The following is a 20764-nucleotide window of genomic DNA, read 5'->3' on the forward strand; positions in this document are numbered from 1 at the left end:
TGGGTCTCGCTTTGTCGCCTAGACTGGAGTGCAGTGGCACAAACACAGCTCACTCACTGTAGCCTCAAACCTCTCAGTCTCAAGCAATCCTCCCACCTCAGCCTCCCAAGTAGCTGGGTCTACAGGCACTTGCCACCATACCCAGCTAATTGTTTTTTAATTTTTTGTAGAGACTCAGTCTCCCTCTGTTGCCCAGGTTGGTCTCGAACTCCTGGGCTCAAGTGATCTTCCTTGCCTCAGCCTCCCAAAGTGCTGGGATTACAGGCGTGAGCCACTGCGCCGGTCCTAGATTCCAATTCTTAAAATGAGAACTTAAAAAAATTTCTGTAATCACTTCCACCTAAAGCCGTACATGGTCCCCATTTATACTTCAGTCAACAATGTGAAAGTTCTAAAATACAGCTTTTGCTGTAACTTAGTATCTGCACATATATATTTTTTTTCTATCACTAAAAGTAAACTGCAATAGTCTTCTGGTGCTAACAAGATTACAACACAATCAAACTGATTTTGTATTTAATTTTGTTCAGTTTTAAGGTTCAAAGTGATCACTCATCCTGAAAATTACACTCTAAAAAAGTGCTCGTAGTTGAGTTTGGGAAATGCAGATCTCCAAGAAATGTGGAGCAACTTAGATGAGCAATGAAAGGATCAGAGGTTTAACCACGACTCCATTTTCTTCAAGCCCCCTGAAGATCCTGACGATCTGGGATGTGCTGGCTACACCCTGCTCCCCGTCAACCAGGAGCGTTACTGAAGTTACAGTAAAACAATGTCAGGAGACTGACACAAAAGCAAATCCTTTCAAAGACTGGTAAGGTTTATTTCAATTAAATCTTTATGTTTTATTTTCCCTCCACTCATTTTTTTCTAGAAGTGGGATAAGATTAACTAAATGTTTGAGTCAATCAAGCTTCTGGTATAGTTGTAGAGATGACTACAAAAGGAAGGTGATAATAACTGAGAAAAATGCTGCTGACACATTAGCTGTAGCACAATTCAAGTTTATTCCATTTGTTCTTGCAACACAAAACTTAAAACACAGTATTATTTAGCATTCGGATGTACATGAACTAGGATACTTATGAGAAACCCAACTGCGTCAAAAGTATGACATTGTGGAAAAAATGAACTCAAATATATCAAAATGCACAAAGCACTAGTCTTCCTCCATTACCGCTTAGAAAGATATGATTGTTTCTCCATTTACAAAATAGAATCAGGACAATTTAAATTTTTTATATTTTGCATGCAAAACACTGCAATTGCTTATTTATGTAGGAGGGCACTCTCACCAGCTTCTTCTATACACAATTGAGTATACAATATTGCATGGAAGAAAACAGCAGCTCAACTGAAATATTAGAAAAAAAAATCAAACAGATACATACAGATTTAAAATCCAGTACTTGGGAAAAGATATCAATGAATAAAAGGCCTACTTGTTTGCAGCTTCCACACACTGCACCTACCTACTACCTCTCTTCCATGCTTAACTGGGTTTAGAAAGGTGAGCTATGCGTAGAAGAACTACTTGGGATATTCAAGTGCTGTATTTGAACGATAAGCCTATAGATAACAGTCTGAAGCTGCAAGGGAGACTTTGTTAGTACACTACTATAAACAGGTAAACTACCTGTTTGTACTTGATATAGTGCATATGAAATGACTGATTTAATACAAAACTACAGAACATGCAAAATTTTTTCTGAGATGTTAAGTATTACTTCAGTGGAGAACAAAACTTACTTAACCTTTCGCTAATGCATGTAGTACCAGAAAGCAAACATGGTTTTAGCTTCCTTTACTCAAAATATGAACATTAAGTGTTGTGAATTTGTCTGCCAAGTGGTTCAGAAATACATTATAAATAACCTAGTTAAAAAAAGAAACTGTGAACCATCTTGGTCAGTCTATTCTATTCTATGTTTATATGTTATTTTCTCAAGCAATCGCTTCATAATTATAGGGTTTACAAAAAGGTCGAGAAAGAAAAGCGAAGGCGAAATAGCCTCTACTGCATTACAAGCAACATCAGGATAAACTGTACAAAGAATCACATGGTTTCCATACCATGAATGTAGAAAGCAGACCAGGTTTAGGAATGATAGGACAATGCACTCTCTGCAATAGCCAACTACAACAAAACACTTTGAAAGTAAAGGTGAAAATTATATAAAGGGAAAAATTCAAGCCTTTAAATAGCATTATGTCAAGAGGTGAAAACAAAGGTATCAAAACACCCTGTTGCACTACGTTGATAGTTATAGACTGATAGAGTGCCCTCCATTTTCAATGAGGATGTCTCCATATTTTAGTTCAGTGATGTAATAAAGTACTGATTACTGATTTTTAACCCAACTCTTAATAGGCTGCATTAAGACAGCAAAATTAGCCAAATACAACAAAGTATTTAAACCACTACTTTGTGATTGTTTTCTTGGATGTAGGAAAATTACAGGGTTAGGCTAGTTGTAAGTGAAAAAGCCACAGGATTAAAAAAAGGACTCATGGGGAAAAATACACACACACACCCACACACACCTATACACCCACACACCCACATGCCAACCAACCAACCAACCAGCAACTGATCAGTAAAACTTGTTATTAACCAGGGTGACTGTTCTTGATAATAGATTAACCCTGCTGTAGAATGCTATGTTGCCTTTAAAAACCAATTCAATTATTATCCACAATCTGAGTATCAGTCCCTAACCCACCCTCCCCTAAAAATTTGAGGTACATTCAATTATTGCATGACTTGGTCTTAATATTTTTAGCAAGCTTATATGGATGGCAAGTCAAAGGAATCTTAATATTTTAAATGTAAGATATAAAATTTAAGCTTATATATTTTAATTAGCTGTACTGCTCATGAAATAAATATTTGGAAATATGTGTAAATATTTTCTGCAGGTCATAAGAACACCATTTTAGGGCACTGTATTCCAAGAACAGAGAATACATTTTGAAGTTGTCACACTTTATGTAATGCATGATTTATAAAAGCAACAAAAATATATTATGCAGGTGGGTTGGCATATGTTCAGCAGAAGCCTATCAACAACTCTGGGAAACCTGGTTACAAGTGTATTTTTGAAGGGATGGGGCTAAATTTGTCCAAACAGTAAATCTCACCCCAGTGATAGCTTTGGTGCAGTAAGTAATCAGCCTCCAAGATGGGTCTGAGAGAGGCATTTCAAAGAATGTTCCTTAATTCTCAACACATAACCAAGGTCAATCCATTCAAACAGCAAATAAAGAAAATCCATAGGTACTAAGATAACTGTTCTCTCTTCATATGATACTAACAGGCTTATGGCTATGATTCTATTTTTAAATCCCCTTTTACTACCAGCAGGAGTTTGAAAGTGTTTCAATGCTATATAAATGTATGAATCTAGAGGAGAAAAAAATATGCATACTGGAATGGTTTCTCCTTTAGACTTCCAAAACTTAAGATTTTATAAATAAAACTAGTCAGTTTTATCTAAAGAGACATGAAATCCATGTGAAAGGGGAGAGAAAATCCAAAGTTCAGTCATCCAGCAATTTAGGAGTGTGCCCCTCCTCACCTTAACTAAGCTTTCACATAAAGCTTAAAGTCACCGAGGAAAGATTTGGTCACCAACCTTATAGGCAGCGCTCTTAACTATGCCAGGAAATCCCCAGTAGAGTGCATTCTTAAGGCAGAAGGCTAGAGCTAATTGCTTATCTCAGCACCCTAAGTTTACATCACAGCAGCCACTACTGCTCAGACAGTTAGGGCTACCAAATATGTAGAGTTGGCCTTTGTAGAATCAGACCTTCAACACAATCTAATAAATTAGCTAGGGAGCTGAAAAGGTCAAATGTTACTGGTGTATTTTGTCTTTGCTCTCCCTTGGGTATAAGGTGTATATTTTATTAGAAAGGGAAGAGGCTTACTTGATCAGGAATCCCAGTAAAAGCCTGATCATGGTTCCTTTTGCCCCTCCTCCAAAACAATTTTTTTTTTCTGGTAGTCGGATTTGTTATGAATTTCTCTCTCCCCTCACCCCTCTTAAAGTATTTAGCTGAAGAAGCTGGCAGATAGAGAGTGACAGACAGACAGGCAGCAGTGTGAGGCCACAGGAGAGTCATTCTTCCGGAGTTATCAGTCCATCCATCCATCACTGGAGAAGAGCTTTGATTGCCTGGTTGTCAGTGGCTTCAAAGGCGGTCAGTCCATCTGGGCCTTTCACAGTCTTATCAGCACCCTGGAAAAGAGAGGAAAGGGCTCATTAAATGAGCCCACAACTGGGGGAAGGGAATGTAAGACTAGCTCACATGGCACAGGTTAATGTTTACATCAAGAATTAAAAATTCCTTTACTAGTGGAGTCTATTCTACTGCAGAAAAACAAACAAGTTGGCAACATTATGGATTAATTATAAAAATGCCACATTATTTTTCAGGCACTAAGAATTGTAACCCAGGCAATCACTGGCTTTTATTTATACTATCATGGATGAGATGATTAGGAAGAGCACGTTGAGCAAGTTAGATATATTTATCTAATTAGGCTTTAAAAATAATATCCCTATGTGCAGTATGAAACGGGGAAAAAGTAAATCACTTTGCTAAAGTATTCCTGTGACAAATTATTTTTTTCTTATTTGAAACACTTTTTGTAGAGTGCATTCAGTATTATATACATCAAGAACAAATACTGTATTCGTCATTTTACTTGTAAAAACTTCGCAGTAAATGCCTGAGATGCGGACTATAAGAAGGTTCCCTGCGATATTGTAGGGAAATATTCAGTGCAGACACCAGACTGCTCTGAACGCTTAACTTGGAGAGTGCTGCCTTGGAACATTTTATCTGCAACGCGGCATTCTGGTTTTGAGAGTGTGTATGTGCCCTTTTGTGCCTGTATGTTGTTTCATCTGTCTACCCTTTCTGGATGAAAGCTCCATGGGAGCAGTAATTCACCACTGTACTCCAGCACTTGGAAAAGTGCCTAGGTGCATGGTAGGTTAATCTGCTCCCAAACCAGGTCTGATTCTTAACTCCCAGAGACAACATCCTACCATCTGAGGGTTCTGTTTACCAGCTCTAGCTCCAGCCAGTATTTATTCACCACACATTCTCTAGAGTCCTGACCCACTCCCCTTGCCAAATCTCACACATTCTTCTGCTTGTTCCTGACACCTACAGAATTGTTTAAACTTGGCACATATGGTCCTTTAGAGGCTAACGCTGGTCAGCTTTACCAGTCTCTTCTCCAGTTAACCGCTCCATGCTCTAATCCTACAGAATTTCTCACCAGTTCCTGCTGTGTTTCATGCCTTTATCCATGCGGGCTCTAGATGGGATGCCTTATCCTCTTCTCTGGCAAATCCACCCATTCACTCAACAAATATTTACTGAATGTTTAATATGCGCATACTGTGTAAAGGACTGGAGAATCAAAGAAAAATAAGACAAGAGTCTGCCAGTCTGGCTGGTATGAGAGTCAGACAACTCAGCCAACACAACACTATGGGAAGAGAACAGTAACAGGGATGAGTGGCCCATAATCAGAACAGGATGTGGCAGGAGGGCGTTTTAAGGGAGAAAGTCTTCCGGGATGAGGTAAAATGCCTGAGCTGAGTCTTGACAAGGAAGTACAGGCTGATTAGGTAAACCAGGGAGGAGATGACATTTTAGGAAGTGTTAAATGATCACAAAGTCCTCCTCAGTATTATTATAAAAGTCTCTATTTCCTCATTTTCTAAATGAATTTAACTGCTTCATGGAAGACATGGAATTCAGGGTCAAGTGGGAGAGACGTCAGTGCGTGAGAACTTCAGTGCTGTGAGTCCCGCCACAATGGTTAAGGGATAACTGTATTCAAAAAAGTTATTTCTTATTCATTTTGATGGCTACTTTTATGACTAGCATTATCAACTATAATTCTGCATTAACAGTTACATATTATAGTGAACTTCTGTTGCTTTTTAGCTCTCAGAGTTTATTTCCCTCCATTTGATGGCAGCACCCTAATTTCATCTTGGGGAATCATTTGTCCCCTCTTGCTTTTTAAAATTTTAATTCTTAATTATTATGGGTACATAACAGTTATATATATAGATGGGGTATGTGATGTTTTGATACAGGCATACAATATGTAATGATCAAATCAGGGCCCTTATCATTTCTTTGTGTTAGAACATTCTAATTCTGCTCTTTTACTTATTTTAAATTACACAGTAAATTGTTAACAAATGTGAACAGTAAGTTGTTCACAACAGTTAACAATTTACTGTAGCCCTGTTGTGCTACCAAATACTAGATCATATTCATTGTAACTGTATTTCTGTTCCCCTTAACCATTCCCAGGGTCCTCTATAGTCCTGGGATTATAAAACCGAGATGCTTATTTTCCTCACCAAATTTCAAAGATTTGAAAGCGGAATACTCTCTCCTAGATTTTGAATCCTGATTGAAGAGATCAAAAGAGAATATAAGAAGTTAGAACTCATTTCTGGGGCACCACCTCGATGAAAAAGCTGACAAGTTCCTGCTACCCAGAGCCCTGCAGTTGCCACAGCTCAATCTCTTCTCAACCTGGTGCCCAGCTTTTCCTGTTGATTCTGCAACTAGGCCAGTCATCTTTTCAAAAATTCCTTTTCTGCTTGTTGACTATCTCTGCTATTTGCAACCAGAAGTATTTAGATAAAATATTTTTAAAATGTATATGTCACCTTTTTCCTAATTATGATGCAAACTTATCGCAGAAAACTCGTAATTCTATACATTAGATACAACTAATGTTAACATCTTAGTGTTTCCTTCTACTCTTCTATTCTAAATATATATACATATATACTTCTTTAAAAATAGTTGAGTAATTAGAAGTAGAGTGACTATATTTATATCAGACAAAAGAAGCCTTAAGATAAAAAAAATTACTAGAGACAAAGAGGGACATTTCATAATGATAAAAGGTTCACAATTCAAACATGTAATTTAAAAATTTCATTTGTAATACCATCAAAAGGGATACAATACTGAAGAATAAATTTAGGGCCAGGCGCAGTGGCTCACAGCTGTAATCCCAGCACTCTGGGAGGCCTAGGCAGGTGGATCACCTGAGGCCAGGAGTTAGAGACCAGCCCGGCCAACATGGCAAAACCCCATCTCTACTAAAAACATAAAAATTAGCCTCATGTGATGGCACACGCCTGTAATCCTAGCTACTTCGGAGGCTAAGGCATGAGAATCACTTGAACCCAGGAGGCGGAGGTTGCAGTGAGCTGAGATGAGATCGTGATGCTGCACTCCAGCTTGGGCAACTGAGCAAGACTCACTCAGCCTCAAAAAAAAAAAAAAAAAAAAAAAAGATGAACCAGTTTTGAAGTAACTGAAGAATTTAAGTATATTTGGCCCTATCCCTTCCTTGAAGAAACCATTTTTTAATTGTTTTTAATTATTTGCATAGCTTTAAATAATATACTCATGCTGATATTTGAGCTATAACTTTAGATTTTATCTTTCGACTTCCTGCTACATACATAGGCCTTTAGCTCACCACTACCACCCTTCCCCAGACCTTCTCAATTTCTTATACTTAAAATATTTTGTTCTTTATAAATGTAAACGATATTTATTTAAACCTGTATTTCTTGTTCCATCAATTCTCATGAAGTAATTTTATAAGATACTTTCTCAACCTTCCCATCACTCCCTCCACCTCCTAATTTGCCAGCTTTTCTATTTTGTCAAGATTAACTTTTATATTCTGGTCTGTAAAAACTGTGTTTTTATCAATTCTTATAGTTAAGTAAGTGATGTTCAAATTATTTCTAGGTAAATACTGCTCTTGGTGGCACCTAGCAGACTAATATGACTAGTCATTTTCTCTCTGTTGTTCCAATATTGCAACCCTATGCAATCCTCACAAATGACTGAATCAGAAGGTAACACTTACAGTAACAGCCTGAGTTTTCCCCAGTCCCACAAACTAATGAATTAAAATGGTTTGGCTCTGTGTCCCCACCCAAATCTCAAGTCAAACTATAATTCCCAATGTTGGAGGTGGGGCCTGGTGGGAGGTGACTGGATCACGGGTGCTAATGGTTTGGCACCACCCCTCACCCCCTTGTGCTGTCTTGTGATAGAGTAGAGTTCTCATGAGACCTGGTTGCTTAAAAGTGTGTAGCACCTCCCCCTTCACACTCTCTCCTGCCACCATGAGAAGATATGACTGCTTCCCCTTTGCCTCCTGCCAGGATTGTTAAGTTTCCTGAGGCCTCCCCAGCCATGCCTCTTGTACAGCGTGAGGAACTGTGAGTGAATTAAACCTCTTCTCTTCATAAATCACTCAGTCTCAGGTAGTTCTCTATAGCAGTGTAAGAACAGACTAATTCATGAACCAATCTGTTACTCTTAAGGTAAATTGCTACCACAGAGAGAAACTAAAACACAATGAATTGAACTAAGTTAATTTATTTCTTGCTTATAAAACAGTCTTAGTGCCAAGCACATAGGTTGGCAGGGTGGCTCTGTCCTTAAGGTCATCTAAGGACCTAAGTTCCTTCCATTCTGTTGATCTCCCATGGGTACACTCCTCACCCATATGTCTGGAGCTGGCTCGTCCTACAGCTGCTTCTAGCCTTCTAGATAAGGAGAAAAGTCCACAGCAAGTGGCTTCATATTTTGTAATGATTTGGAAGTGACACACATCATTTGTGCATATCCCAGTAGCCTAAAAGTTAGTTAGACACACAGCCATAATTACTGCAAGGAAAGCTGAGACACAAGGATTACCTAGGCTGCCATGTGGACAACTACAACCTAGGGTTTTCTTTCTAAAGCACAAGGAAAAATCAGACATGACAGACAATTTGCAACCTGACCTATACTGTTCTGAAAACACTTTGAAATAAGTCACTAACGTCCTGTAAATGCCAAGTCTAGTCAACATATATAGTATCTGAACAGTGATATTCCTAACTCATTATGGTCCTAACTCTCAAGACAGTATTATCTCCACATTCTCCTGTCTAGCCTGCCTCTCCCTCCCACACCAACTCCTTCTACTCTCCCCTGCCTTCCTTTACTTTCTCTGGCTGTCCTTTATACAGGATTCAGGTCTTTAACACTCTTTATAACTTGCTCAACGTGCTCTTCCTAATCATCTCATCCATGTCCAACCTTTATTGTCCTCATTCTGAGGACTGGCTTTCAGACTTACCTACTTTAAGTTCCATAAATACCTTGAATTCAACCTCTCCCAAAATGAATCTGTAATCTTTTCCTATAAACCTTGCTCCTTTTTCAATATTCTCCAACAAGGTGAAGAACACTACCATCTTCCAGAAGATGTGGAGACAGTATGCAGTTCTTGTTTACTTAAGTCTTCAGACCATACTATTAAGATTTCCCATCTGTCCTTGGTTCTCCATTGCTACCATCACTTTTTTAGTTCAGGTATAAACATTTGGATGCAATGATTTCTTTCTTTTTTTTTTTTTGAGATGGAGTCTCGCTCTGTCACCCAGGCTGGAGTGCAGTGGCACAACCTCGGCTCACTGCAACCTCCGCCTCTTGGGTTCAAGCAATTCTCCTGCCTCAGCCTCCCGAGTAGCTGGGATTACAGGTGCATACCACCATGCCTGACTAAATTTTTTTGTATTTTTAGTAGAGATAGGGTTTCACTGTGTTAGCCAGGCTGGCCTCGATCTCCTGACCTTGTGATCCGCCCACCTTAGCGTCCCAAAATGCTGGGATCACAGGCGTGAGCCACTGCGCCCGGCCTTTTTTATTACACAACTCTAATTCAGACTCTACATGTTTGGGTGTTCTTTCTCAAATGCCAGTCTGATCATACTGTTCATATACCTAAAAGCCTTTAATGGCATTCTCACGAAATAGAATAAAGATAAATAACATGACACATAAAGGCATAATCTGTTCACTACCTACCTCTCTAGTCATAGGCCTTGCTAAATCCTTTCTACCTGACTGTGTGGCTACGCCAAACAACGTACTGTACTCTAATACATCATGGTTTCTTTCTTGTCCCTGTGACTTTTCTCATTGTTGCTTCTGCTTGGGATGGTGCCCCAATTCTCTACTGGACTCTTAGACACTAAGTTTCTAAGGTTCAGCTCAAGTGTCAACTGCTTTATGAAATTACAATTGTGGTACCTGGAGCTGTAATGACATTCTTATTCATAACACACTATCCCCTTAACTTCCAAGACCACAATTGCCCTCTTCTTCCTTCGGGTCTTTACACATTGCATATAACTCTTGTCACAGCAACCACAATGCTTCAAGGCACTGATTGTTTTACATATTTGTCTCCTTTTACCAGACTAACTATGTTGAGGGCAGGAACAAGGCTTATTAGTCTTTGCGATCCCAAGGCCTTGCACAGGCCCAATAAGAGGTAATCAATACATGTTTATTGATACAGGCCGGGCACAGTGGCTCACGCCTGTAATGTCAACACTTTGGGAGGCCAGGGTGGGCAGATCACCTGAGGTCAGGAGTTCAAGACCAGCCTGGTCAACATGGCGAAACCCCGTCTGTACTAAAAATGCAAAAATTAGCCAGGCATGGTGGCAGGCACCTGTAATCCCAGCTACTGGGGAGGCTGAGGCAGAAGAATCGCTTGAACCCAGGAGGCGGAGGTTGCAGTGAGCCTAGATTGTGCCACTGCACTCCAGCCTGGGTGACAGAGTGAGACTCCGTCTCAAACAAACAAAAAAAACGGATACAAATAGGAACTAAAAATATAAGGAACTTGATAAAATAATTATAGTATTAAATTGGCAGATTTAAAGACAGACTGCTGTGAATATATCAACAAAGCATTTCCATTGTGAACAGGCTGCCTGCCTACTAGCACACTATATAACATACCCACTTATTTTCAGGTAATTGCAACATAGAAGTCCCTTTATTGCTGACATCTGATTACAATCAGAACTAGGTTCATTTGCCTACAGCATGATTCTGCTGATTTTTCTGAAGTTTTCTGGAGGAGAAAAAGGTTGCTATGGCCAAGTTAAAGTGACCCAAACAGACAGGCTGTTTGTCATTCTAGGGAGTAAACGTTTTTAAGGCATTGCAAGTAATTTATTGATCTTCAAATGCCACACTTGTAGATAATCAAGTATTATTTGATAGTGTGAGGTCAAACATGCAGAATGTTTAAAAAAACTTCAAGTCATGCTATCTCCACCCATAAATAATTTACAATCTAGCTGGAAAGATAAGATATACCCACATGAAACAACAAGAACATATCTTTACCTGCTTGTCACCTTTATCTACTTCTTACTTCAGACAGCCTAATTCCCCTGTATATTATCAGTTCTTAGCATGTAAAAATAGGCCAAGAAAACTGGATTAGTAACATTTTAAGGATGAAACTCTCAAACTCCTCAGAGGTTATCTGACATTATCTTGACAAGAGGCTTTTGTCAAGGTTTTGAAGATGCTGATTATAGTTATACTGATAAATTGACAGAATAACAAGCAGCTTTGTTTCCATGCAAAATTTAAAAAATTTACAAATAAAATCAGGCAAAAAATTAGCACTTCTATATATATATAGATCTCCAAGTGCTAACTGGATACACACACACACACACACACACACACACACAAAACCTCTCTCTCTCTCTTGAACCAAATATAAATACAGTCAACTACATATATAGTCATCCCTCTGTGTGTGAGGGGGATTGGTTCCTAACTCCCTCTTGGATACCCAAATCCCTTATATAAAATGGCTTAGGATTTGCATATAACATACACACTTTATATACTTTTGTATACTTTAAATTATCTATAGATTACTTATAATACCTAATACAACGTAAACACTATATAAATACACTTGACCCTTGAACGACATGGGTTTGAACTGTGCAGGTCCAATTATAAGCAGATATTTTTCAATAAAAGTTACATGGAGTGTGCCTGCCTCTCCTGTCCCTCCTTCCACCTCTTCCTCCTCTGAGACAGCAAGACCAACCCCCAATTCCTCCTCCTCAAGCTACTTGAAGCAAAGAAAATGAGGATAAAGGTCTTTATGGTAACCTACTTCCACTTAATGAATAGTAAATGTAGTTTGTCTTTGTAATGATTTTCTTAATAGTCTTTTCTCCAGCTTACTTTACTGTAACAATGAAGTATATAACTCATACAAAAAATATGTGTTGACTGTCTGTTTATGTCATCTATATGCTTCCGGTGAACAGTAAGCTATTAGTTTTTTGGGAGTCAAAAATTCTATGTGGATTTTTGACTGTGCAGGGGTTGGCAACCCTAAACCCCTGCATTGTTCAAGGGTCACCCAGTTGTTATACTGTATTGCTTTTTAATTTATATTATTTGTAATTATTGTGCTATTATTTTTCTGAATCTATTTTTGATCTGTGGTTGAATCCATGGATGCAAAACCTATGGCTATGGAGGGCAAACTGTGTGTTATCTCTACATATGCATATGGATTTACCTATCTACATATACACACAGATAAACACACACACATACCCTTCCCCCTTGGAATATAACCAATTACTTCAGAAAATTTTCTTTAGCAACCATGGTTTTGAATGGTCAATTCACTTTGGAAAGAAAGCAATTTAGAATCAAATACAAAACAAATATCTGAAAGGACTAAGACTGCAGTTGAGGATTAAAGTCAATTCAAGGAATATTTGCAATGTTTCTAGTTTAACATTTTATGACAGACACTTATCAGGTCAGGATTCTAGCAACCTTATGTTGATTTGAACTGACAGGAAGTGAATATAAAACTTTAAAAAACCATTGAAACAGCTTTACAGAGTTCAAGCTCTTCATCATTCCATAGAAGCATGCTGGTGTCCTCACTCAGAAATTTTTATTTCAAACACAGACCTTCTCAGTCAAAATTAAATCAGAAACAGAAAACAGAAAGGAGAGAAGGCCTACTGAAGACGGTCACACTAACAACAGTAACATCTGACAAGAGCTTGACATGACTATAGTAAGAAAGAAACCAAGACTGAGCCCGGCTAAAGCTTAGCTAGTGTAAGGACAATTAACCAAAACTTCAACAGACCCCCGAGGGTTGGATGCTGGTAAGGCTTCAAGGAAATCATCATGTCTTGTTACTCTGCTTAAGAGAAAAGTATATAATACCCTTAAGAAATTTTCTATCCAAAATAGTTATTTTTTACCCTTATAAAGGCTTTTTTTCCCCCCACAGTACTTGTTACTACCTGAAATTAAGTTACATTTATTGGTATACCTGTTTACTCTGCCTTCCCTCTAGAAAATGAGGTGTTACTCTGCCTTCCCTCTAGAAAATGAGGTGTCCAAGAGCGGAGGATCTGTTTACCTTGTTAACTCCTATATCCCCAGTATTTAAATGAATACAGTGTGTACTTCCTTTTGATATTAAATGTCTCATGAAGACTTCGAAAAACGTAAAGCATCAAAGACATTCTTTATTCTTTCCCTGGAACCACCCAATTACCTCTCATTCAATTGTTAGATTCTCTGTGAAGCCTGCTGGGATTTCCCAGGCAGCTGGTGCCCTGGAGATCACAGGTCAGTACTGTAGCTCACTCAGCATCTGACACAACCCACTTCCAACCCGTTCTTCTTTGCTTTCCTCTACTACAGAGGTTGAAAATAAGTGAAATCCTCAGACTCCCTTAAAGCTACAGGTGACTATCTGACCTAATTTTGGCCTTAGCTCTTTCCCCCCTCTTCCTGTTGTCAACAGACACAATGCCTGGCGGTTCAGTAGTTATCTTGTGACCATAAGGATTGGGGAAAATGGGGGCGGGGGGGGGGGGCGGGTGCGTGGGGCGGGTGCCCAGTGTGGGATATCAACAACATACACAGCGGAGCCAGTCACTTAGCCTTGGACTGCACATCTTCAGACTTTCTCGTTTAGATCATTGTAGTAAGGGTTTTTGTTACTCATGGCTAAACTCCACCTTTCTTAGGGAACTTACCACAGTCTGTAATTAACCATTAACAGGTATGTCTTCCCCAAATTAGGCTGAGCTCCATGAAGGAAGGGGTCCTGTTATATTTGTCCCTATAGCTTTAATACCTAGGATAATGCCTTGTAGCCAGCAGATGCTCAATAAATATTAAATGAAAAAAATTCACATCTGGGTCATAGTAACAGAAATATTACCCTTAGTGAACACAAGCATCCAAATTAAAAGGAAAAATTATTTTTTTAAAAATACTATCTTGTCTAAGTATGTACTACTGTATCATTAGAAAGAATACTGTCAATTATTTTGAATCAATTTATATGCATTTTAGAACAGTCTTGAGAAACTACTATACTCACAAAGAACTCCATTATCTCATGATTTGAGGCAACTGTTTGTAGTTCCATGGTACTATGAGAAAATGTTCAGAATCTGAAAACCTTACACTGTTTAAATATATACTTAAATATTACCATAGAACTTAAACATATGATTCAATTTCGGAAACTACTAAAAATGGATTTGGTATTTAGTGACATTAAAAATTATTCAAATACCTACAATTATACATACTTTGCAATTTTATCTACTGGTGCAGGATGATTTCATAGCACATTTAATTTCATATTTAATTTACATATTGATACAGGAGACAGAGTAAAGACAATTTCTGGTCTTTACTAGACCTATAAGGTCTAACATAATACAAAACACAGTGATTGTTACCTCCCTTACATTTTTCGTAGCAGTTTTGAGTTTTTAATGTAACAGTAAAAATATGTAACCACATGTTTCTCACAGCAGTCCCCTGAAGTGGACATTGTTAACTCCATTTTGTAGACAGGCTCTCAAGCTCAGTTAAGAAACTTGCCCAAGGTCAGTCAACAAATACGAAAACTAGAACCATCTGACTCCAAATTTTGTATTCTATACCACATTTAGTTGAAAATTACCCATGGCCTCTCCCCCCAAAATGTTAGGGACAAGACTAGATTTTGGAATTTATTACCTTTAGATATCTGCAGCTTATTTGTATCTTACAGAAAATAAAAGAACTGTGGGATGGCACACATATGACTTGTCATCTGTTGCACACTCTGACACCACAGCATCTTTTCATAGACACTCAATTCACAAGTCCATTCTGTGAATCTTTACTGAGTTTCTATTAAGTGGCAGATACAGCTTTGGTAAATAAAATGTTACTGGAACATACCTAGGCTCATTCATTTACATGTTGCTTATGGCTGCTTTTGCATCACAGTGGCAGAGATGAGAAGCTTTAATGGAGACCATAAGGCACAGAAAGCCCCAAATGTTTACTACCTGGCCCTTAACAGAAAATGTTTACTACCTGGCCCTTAATAGAAAATGTTTGTTGCCCACTGTTCTAGGGCATTAGGGAGAATCAGAGACTAGTTCTCATATATTTCATAAATAGTGTGGCAAGTACTAAAAATAGGAAAGACCATTACCTTCTTTGATTCTCAGAATAATCCTGGGGTATGAATACTATTAAACCCACTGAGTTCAGATGTCAAGTGATTTACTAGCTATGAAGTTACAGAACCAGGCCTTAAATCTAGGTTTACTAACTTCATTGCCAAGCTCCTCTATCTGCACCACTCTGCTTCTCCAACAATGGGGAATGTCATATGAACCAAAGCATTTGTTGAGAACTTTAATTTACCAAGTGGGTTAAGTGTTGATGCTGTTGTCTCATCTCTTTAACTTTTCCAAAAATTCAATTCTTAAAATGTCAATTAAAATCTAAAGAGGCAGGTACTTCAAGTTTTCCAAGCAGCTGCTCAAACTTACTCAAATGACAAAAACTAACAAATGAGACTCACACACATGTGAGCAATGAGACATTTTATGTTTCGTTTTATTCCTTATTTGAACACAGTTAACTATAGTTCATTTTCAGTTGCATATATAATGGTCTTGGATTTGTTCTTATGGTACCCCTAGTAAAAATATGATTTTAATATCACTATAGCAATCATATTTAACATGAATAGAAAGATCATTTCAAGGTTTCAGAGAAAAATTCATCATGGAAATAGGATGGGCTAAAGCACAAACGAGCCTTCAAATTACTCCTCTTCAAGGACAGTCACATATTGAGCTGTTATATTACTTTTTTTTTTTTTTTTTTGAGACGGGAGTTTCATTTTTGTTGCCCAGGCTGGAGTGCAATGGCATGATCTCAGCTCACTACAAACTCCACCTCCCGGGTTCAAGCTATTCTCCTGCCTCAGCCTCCTGAGTAGCTGAGATAACAGGCACCTGCCACCACGCCCGGCTAATTTTTTTTTTGCATTTTTAGTAGAGATGGGGTTTAACCATGTTGGCCAGGCTGGTCTCGAACTCCTGACCTCAGGTGATCCGCCCGCCTCGGCCTCCCAAAGTGCTGGGATTACAGGCGTGAGCTACTGTGCCCGGCCGCTGTTATATTACTTAAAAGGTGGTACATCCTAAGTTTCAGACAAAAAAGTATGTCCACACTTGAAAGAAAGTTCTTCTCATAAAGTTAATTTTCTTCAGGGAACCCTCATTCCTACAGCAAGTCTTTCCTTTCCTGAGAAGCACATCAATCCTAAAGTCTTTGTACTTGCTGAGAACTCATGATGTGCTCGGCATTTCAGCGAGTGGCTTATACACATTATCTCACTTGAGTACTTGGCTATACTGAGAGGCAGTATAATGTAATGGTTACAGACACAGGCTCTAGAGCAAAATTGACTGGATTTGAATTCCAATTCCCCTTCTTGCTAGTTGTGTGATGCTGGGCAAATTTCCTAAATCATTTTGTGCCTCTGTTTCCCCAGTGGTAAAATGGATTAAAAAAATATTTTATAAGACTACTACGGTGATTAAATAAGTTAATATACACAAAGCCCTCAAAACTGTACTTGTACATAGGAAATGTCATTTAACTGTGAGCTATTTTATCCTCATATCAACTCTATGTGATAAATACAGGCCTATGTTACAGAAGAGAAAGCTTAGGCTGAGATATTAAGAAACTTGCTCAAACCCAGAGTTATTAAGCAGAACTGAGAACTAAACTTGTGTGTGTGTAGGTGTGTGGCACCCCAGCACATAGCACAGATCACTAACAGAAGCTAAAATGATGTGCTGTAGTCTAAAAGAGCTAAACAGTTAACGACAATGAACTTACACCGTGGGCATACTTGTGTATGAGATTTGTGAAACCTATCAAAACAGTCTAACAATTGGTTCTTCAGTTATTTATGGGGTAAATCTTGTAGATATATCACTCTGGTAGGCCCTTTATGACACAGTTTCTTAAAAATAAGACAATTCAGTAAGGCACTGCTGAGCTCTTTGAGGAAGACCAGTCCTAAAACTTTTTTGAAACCCAACTTGACCATGTTATATGGAACAGAATTTTGGGGTTCCAAATAATCCTAAAATGTGAGTGGGGGAATATCTGAAGCTATTCAGATTTTATTGGAGGTATGGTAGTAATTCAAGTAACAAATAGTAATTCAAGTAAATATTTGTTCTGCCTGCAGGCACGCCAATTTGCTTATGCTAAAAAGGGCTAACTTTCAGCCCTTATATCTTACACATTTGATTCCCAATTCAAGTAGCAATTCTGCACCACAGACACTTCCCTGAGGAGTCAACAATGCTGATACTTGAGAGGGATATTCAAGTTTTACTAACTGGCTACGTGATTAAAAAGAAAAAGCACAGAAAATACATTTATCAAAAACATGAATGTTACCAGACAAGATGGTTTTTTCTATTTCCTCAGCAGACTGAATTTCAGTATTTTTAAATCTCTATAGCAATTATACATAAAACATAAAACATTTTGACTTCCTTTAAATAAGAATGCAGTTGAGTATACCTTTGTTCTCAAGCCAGGAATAGTTAACTTACAGAGTGGTCTGAAACAGCTGAGTCACTAAAATTAGCGCTGCATAACCATCAGTGGTATATTATATATAGTTGTTGTTGTAAGATTAGAGTTGGCTTCCTGAGGAGATAAATTCTTTTGACACAGAAGCAGAGAAAAAAAGGAAAACAAAAAAGCAGTTCTTTTGGGCTTTCTCCTCTCAGGTATAGCTCAGTGTGCTAAATATCACTAGTAACAAAATGATAGCTTATAATAACAAATTAAGTATGCTGTCAGATTATTTTTGTAATCTAAGAATAAAACTGCAATGTTTTGAAACTTTCATTGAATTCTCAACTCATGGGATTCTGATTCTCTCATGCTGGGGTATAACTTTTTCTATTTATTTATAAGAATTCGTATTTCTATAGGCGATTGAGAGGTCATTTTTAATAGCAGTATATACCATGTAAGGCATGGAGTGTAAATACACCAGCATAAATGACTGAAAGCTTATCTGTCTAAATTCTAAATTATAGCAAATATAACATCTTTAAATGATTGATAAAAGAAGTAAATAATTAGGATATTTCCCCACAATACCCCATAGTTGATTATTTAGAAATAGTATTCCTTAGGATTAGGAATACTGAACTTCTTAAAGTTCTTTATTAAAATTATAAGGAATTATGTACATTATATGGAATTTTAATGAGTATTATAGAAAATATAATCTTCAATATTATATGTATTATGTTAATATTAGAAATGTGCAACATGAGGCCAGGCGTGGTGGCTCGCGCCTGTAATCCCAGCACTTTGGGAGGCCGAGGCAGGCGGATCACCTGAGGTCAGGAGTTTGAGACCAGCCTGGTCAACATGGCAAAACCCCCGTCTCTACTAAAAATATAAAAATTAGCTGAGTGTGGTAATCCCAGCTACTTGGGAGGCTGAGGCAGGAGAAGTGCCTGAACCTGTGAGCCGAGATCACGCCATTGCACTCCAGCCTGGGGGACAGAGGGAGACTCTGTCTCAAAAAAATAAATAAATAAAATAAAATGAAAATAAATGTGCCACATGATAGTGTATTAATACTACAGGCAAACTACTATTATTTCTCTTACAGAATTGTCAAAACTATATTAAGATGTCCAATTATATGTAACTGTGAAAAATATAGTAGTCTCCTTTTATCTGTAGGAGACATATTTCAAGACCTCCAATGGATGCCTTGAAACCACAGACAGTAATGAACCCTAATATATACAGCCACATGTCACTTAACAAGGGAATTTCATCATTGTGTGAACATCATAGAGTGTCCTTACATAAACCTAGATGGTATGGCCTACTACACACGTAGGATATATGTTATAGCCTATTGCTCCTAGGCTACAAACCTATATCCAGTATGTTACTGTACTGAATATTATAGGCAGCTGTAACACGATGGTAAGTATTTGTGTATCTAAACATAGAAAAGGTATGGTAAAAATACAGTATAAAAGATAAAAATGGTACACCTGTATAGGGCACTCATCATCAATGAAGCCTGCAGGACTGGAGGTTGTTCTGAGTGAGATGAGTGGTGAGTGAAGGTGAAGGCCTAGGACATTACTACACACTACTATAGACTTTACAAACACTGTATACTTAGGCTACACTAAATTTATAAGAAAAATTTTCTTTTTTCAGCAATAAATTAACCTTAGCTCACTGTAACTTTTTTACTTTATAAACTTTTAAATGTCTTTAACATTTTGACTGTTTTGTAATAAAGCTTAGCTTAAAACACAAGTACACTGCACAGCTGTAGAAAAATATTTTCTTTTATATTCTTATTCTGTAAGTTTTTATCTAATTAAAAATTTTTTAAAACTTTTTTGTTGAAAACTAACATACACACAAACACGAGCCTAGACCTAGACCTACACAGGGTCAGGATCATCAATATCACTTTTTCCACCTCCATATCTTGTCCCATTGGAAGATTTTCAGGGGCAAGAGAATACATGGAGCTGTCAACTCGTATGATAAAAATGCCTTTTTCTAGAATACCTCCTGAAGGACATGCCTGAAGTTCTTTTACATTAACTTTTTTTTTAATAAGTAGAAGAAACTCTAGTCTAAAATAAGAATAAAAAGCATAGTATAGTAAATACATAAACATATAACACAGTCATTACCAAGCATTATGTATGACCAGCAGTGAGGTAGGTTTGTTTACACCAGCATCTCCATAAGCACACTGTTGACTGAAACGTCATTATATGGCACATGACTGCACTATGTTTTTTCCTATACACACATACCTATGATAAAGTTTAATTTATAAATTAGGCACAGGAAGAAATAATAATAATAAAATAGAACAACTATAACATGCTAATAAAAGTTAACTGTAATAAAAGTTATGGTAATGTGGTGTCTCTCTCACAAAGTATCTTAGTAATGTACTCACCATGACCATGGGTAACTGCAGAAAAGGGGGACTACTGTAAATGAACTCTGAACTTAGGAAAGTCCATCAGCTAATACTATTCAAGAATATGATTTCATGTTTAGCCCCCTTCTAATGTGTTTGTGCAACCTTGCTATTATTCAAGTGTTTAAGATTTTAATCAGAAAGACCAGTTTAGTAATGAACAGTGAATATCCCAGATAAGTGTCCTATAAACTCTTGTTTGGCTACATTAAAAAATCTTTTCAAAAATAAGTGCTAGCATAGTCTAATAAAAGCATCCAGAAGGATACACACTCACCTTGTAGCACTTAGGGAAGCATCATCTTACCACTGAGGGTTAGGGTTTTAAAACGATGTGCCTTATAAATTCCAAACTATTTATGAGCTAGAGCAGGGGTTGGCAAACATGGCCTGGATATTTGTTTTTGTATATGAAGTTTTACTGGGATGCAGCCATGC

The 20764-nt window shown here is 37.7% G+C and overlaps 1 protein-coding gene across 1 annotated transcript in view; it reads right to left on the reverse strand.

Annotated features, from left to right (window-relative positions):
- Positions 1-988: 988 nt before the first annotated feature.
- Positions 989-20764, reverse strand: part of MTPN (myotrophin) — a 50600-nt gene continuing 30824 nt past the window's right edge. The window contains exon 4 of the mRNA NM_145808.4: positions 989-4241. Within this exon, the coding sequence (NP_665807.1) occupies positions 4155-4241 (87 nt within the window). The 3' untranslated portion in view covers positions 989-4154. The remainder of the gene's footprint in view (positions 4242-20764) is intronic.

Source organism: Homo sapiens, chromosome 7 (assembly GCF_000001405.40).
Source record: "Homo sapiens chromosome 7, GRCh38.p14 Primary Assembly".
In the NCBI taxonomy this organism is placed as follows: Eukaryota; Metazoa; Chordata; class Mammalia; order Primates; family Hominidae; genus Homo; species Homo sapiens.